At 47.5% G+C, this 4,339-nt stretch overlaps 1 annotated feature.

Annotated features, from left to right (window-relative positions):
- Positions 224-1,423: an enhancer, noted in NCBI's record as "BRD4-independent group 4 enhancer chr1:13848024-13849223 (GRCh37/hg19 assembly coordinates)". NCBI's record gives its function as "activates an origin of replication core promoter dependent on BRD2, P300/CBP, MED14 and CDK7 cofactors, and independent of BRD4, by STARR-seq in HCT116 cells {active_cell/tissue: HCT116}" and the evidence as "EXISTENCE:reporter gene assay evidence [ECO:0000049][PMID:35650434]".

The following is a 4,339-nucleotide window of genomic DNA, read 5'->3' as shown; positions in this document are numbered from 1 at the left end:
CCTCAGCCTCCCAAGTAGTTGGGACCACAGGCACATGCCACCACGCCCAGCTAATTGTTTTTTTTTTTTGGTATTTTTAGTAGAGACAGGGTTTCACTGTGTTAGCGAGGATGGTCTTGATCTCCTGACCTCATGATCCACCCGCCTCAGCCTCCCAAAGTGCTGAGATTACAGGTGTGAGCCCCTGTGCCGGGCAGCACTATTATTATGATTGCATCCATGTCATGTTTTCTCCAGCCTTTGGGGTCTTCAGTAATATTAATACTTAACAATGATTTTATGCTAATTTAGAATAACTTACAGGGTAGAAGAAGCCACGGCTGCCTGGATGGCAAATGTGTCTCTACTTCTGCCATTGGCTGGCATAGGTGGAGTGGCTTTACCTGTTACCTGTTTCAAGAACTCAATGAGATAGCTTTGGGAGCATATGCAAATGTATGCAAATTGCACACAAATTTATAGAAAACAGCCTTGTGTGTGCCTCCGCATGTACTAGAAAGAATTCTGGTGGCTTTATACAATTCTACCTTTGGGTTATGCCATTTTGTATTCCGCTGTTTCAGAAAGACTTACCTGGAAGGAGGGAGGTGCGTGCACATGAGTGTGTGCTCACGTCTGCAGGATGGGCCGGGGGAGGGCAGAGGAGGCCAGTCATGACAGCGGAAATACTGCTCAGCAGCCAGTCATGACAGCAGAAATACTGCTCAGCAGCCAGTCATGACAGCGGAAATACTGCTCAGCAGCCAGTCATGACAGCGGAAATACTGCTCAGCAGCCAGTCATGACAGCGGAAATACTGCTCAGCAGCCAGTCATGACAGCGGAAATACTGCTCAGCAATCAGATATGTTTGCTGAGCAGTGTTTCAGCTGTTAAATTTTTATTTTATTGATCCAAAATAAAATGTAAAACTCCAGGCTCTGAGGCCCTACCTCTAATCAGTCAGTCCATGCGATCAACAGCCACTAATGACCTCCCATCATTAGATAACCCTGCGCTGTAGATTTCCACAAGGGCTGCAAAAGGAGCTCAGGAAACTTGTCTTTGGGTTTGAAATGTCAAGTATCCTTAGGGCTACTCAGCTGTGAAAGGGTGAGTAATCAGCCACCCACCAGAGGTTTTTGTAAAATGGGCACAAAGACGTGGGCCCCCGACACAGCTGCTGTGAGGCTCACTTGAGAGCATGGGAGTAAGGGGTCTTTGCAGTGTTGCATATGGGTGTGAGAGCGCACAGGTCACTATCATTATTATCAGGAGAGGAGATCATGAGGAAGGAGGGGAAGTCCTGAGGCCGCCTTCTGCAGTATTTGCGGGGTTAAACAGATAGTACAGCAGCAGCATCATAGAGACCCACACCTTTAGAGCCTTCCAAAGCAATCCTGACCTCAAATGCTTGGTCTGCCAATCATTCCACACGGCAGAAGCATTTGCTTGTCACGCATGCGCTCATTCGTTCATTTGGCAAAGATACCTTGGGCACCTGCCCTGTGTGGGGTCCTATGCTGGGTTCCAGGATATAAACACGGAGAAGACACGGTCTTTGCTCAGGAGGACCTGTTCTTTCTCACACTAGAGCCAAGTAATAATCCAGGAAAGGAGAGAAACATGTTATCAATAAATACCACACTGCATGCAAGGGACAGTAACACAACGGAGGAAAGATACCAGGGAGAAAATAATTTGGCTGTACGTGGGGAGGCCGAAGGCTTACGGAGGAACGCATGTCATTTTTGAGAGTGAGCAGGGGCCTGCCAAGTGGACTGGCAGGGAAGCCTGTGCGCTGGGGTAGAGAAGCGTGAAGCCACATGGCCGTATGCTCCGAGAGCTGATTTGGAAAATACGGTCCGCTGTGTCAAGATGTGGCTTTCTCCAATCATCCTGGCCCAGACATCCCTGACTCCTCCAAATGCCTGCGACATTTATTAACCCACAGTACTTGTTTGGCAGTTACTGTACAGGACAAGTCCTTGCTGCGGGTGGCCTGTCTCTTCAAGGAGGTTGTGAGTCACCTGAGAACTGAGGCTGTCTACTCTGTCTTGGTCTCCCCGGGACCCAGTTCAATGCCTTCCTTTAGAATATTAAGCAGGCAAGAAAAGTTTTTTGCTGGAGGTGTCCAAATGGATGAGAATGTTCCCACCTTCAGATGCTACTATGTATTGAGAATCCCACAGGTGCTGTGCCGAATGCTAATTTGTATATTATCTCATTGAATCTTCACAGTAACCCTATGAGGTAGATACGGCGGGTCTCCATTTTACAGATGAAACAACCGAAGCTTATGGCGATGACTTCACTTGCAGAACAGCAGCTTAGAAGGGATGGAGCCGGGATCTGAATATGGGCTAACTGGCTCAAGGGCCAAGGGTTTTAGCTCTGACTCTACCCAAATGTACAGCTTCTATTTTGGTATACTTAATAACACTATATGAATTCGAGTTTTAGAGACCAACACATAAGTCCCAACTCTAATGAAACAGTGGTTATTTCTTCTTGTGGCTGTCTCTTGAGCCCTGAGCTCCTTGAGCATGAGGCTACACCCGCGCCCTCTTTATGCTCCATACCTAGCACAGCACTTAGTCTCCTGGAATGGAGAATAAAGGGGACCAGGGAATTGTTCAGGGTAATTCTAGAAGGACTTCTTGGAGGAGGCCAAATTTCATTAAGCAAACTGGGAACATGGTGGGAGGCAAGCCAGGAAGAGGGTATGAATAAAGGCGCAAAGGTGGACATGATGACATCATTTATGGGGTGCCACATGCTTTTGATGAAGAGGAACTAGATATGTGTTTGGGGGAGCCCCAAACTCCCAGGCTACTTCAGGGGTACAGTTGGAGTGCTTTGTGCTCTCCATGTAAATCTCATTCCTTCCTGGGAAATAGAGCCAAGGCTGTCTTTGGAGGGATGAAGTTCCTTGCTCTACCAGAAACGATGAATGAGTTTCTCCAGGTGAGATACTGCTGAGAAACTGGTAGCCTAGTTGACAGGCATCATTTACAGGTGACAATTAGTTAATCAATTCTTGAGTGTTCTGGGGCTGATTCTAGGAACTGGAATAAAGTATCGAGCCTGACTTGGCACAGTGGCTCACGTCTGTAATCTCAGTACTTTGGGAGACTGAGGCAGGAGGATAACTTGAGCCCAGGAGTTTGAGACCAGCCTGGGCAACATAGTGAGACCCCCAATCACTGCAAAAAGTAAAAAAAAAAAAAAAAAAAAAAAAAAAAAATTAGCCAGGTGTGGTAGCATGTGCCTGTAGTGCCAGCTACTTGGGAGGCTGAGGTGGGAGGAGCTCTTGAGCCTGGGAGGTTGGGACTGCAGTGAGCCATGATTGCCCCACTGGACTTCAGCCTGCGTGACAGAGTAAGAACCTATCTCTAAATAAATAAATAAGAAAGAATGAATGAATAAAAAGATTGGCCCTTATAGAGGTTCCATTTTAGTGGTGGAAAGTAGCGTGAATAAGTAAACAAACCAGCAAGCTGAGAAATGCCAGGGGGTAATAATAAACAAGTTGAAGCCAGGAAAAGAAGGGAAGCAACTTAGGAAGACAAGGGAGATTGACTGGAGAAAGATATGAGGTCAGTGAATGCCAGTTTGGGGAGGTGACATATGGGCTGAGAAAGCCCAAATGACCAAATGGCACCAACCATGCCAGGAGCTGGGAAGGAAGTACTTCCAGTGGAGGGCACAGCAAAGGGCAAAGCTCTGGTGGTGGAAACAAACATGAGGAATTGCATGTATGAAAAGACTAGAGTGTGGTGAACCAAGAGAAGAGGGGTCCCAAATTAGGGGGGTGGGGGAAGGAACACGGAGCCAGGCCATGCAGGATCTGGTGGGCTCTTGTTCCAAGTTCCTTAGTGTATCAGTTAGCTATTGCTGTGTAACAAATTACCCCCTTTTAGCAGTTTTAAACAAAACACATTTCAAAGCTCACAGTTTCTGCAGGTCAGGAGTCTGGGAAGGCTTTCTCTGGGTCTTCTGCTTCAGGGAGTGTCACAGGTTGCAGTCAAGGTGTTGGCTGGGCTGTAGTCTCTCTGGGTTCAACTGGGGAAGGCCCCACTTCAAGCTCCCGTGGTTGTTGGCAGGATTCAGCTCCTCAGGGGGCTATTGATCTGAGCACCCCCAACCCTGTTCCTCACCATGAGGGTCTCTCCAACAGAATAGCTTTCCTCATCAAATTGTGCAGGAGACAAATCGTTCAGGGAGATGACACAGTCTACCCACAAGACAGAACCTGAACACAGAATTGACCTTCATTGCCTCTGCCATATTCTATTTGTTAGAAGCAAGTCAGGGTCCCACCTCCACTCAAGGAATACCTGGAGGTGGGGATCATTGGG

The sequence above is a fragment of the Homo sapiens genome, chromosome 1 (assembly GCF_000001405.40).
Source record: "Homo sapiens chromosome 1, GRCh38.p14 Primary Assembly".
In the NCBI taxonomy this organism is placed as follows: Eukaryota; Metazoa; Chordata; class Mammalia; order Primates; family Hominidae; genus Homo; species Homo sapiens.
Note: the sequence above shows the minus strand (reverse complement) of the source record. Positions and strands in the feature narration are given on the sequence as shown.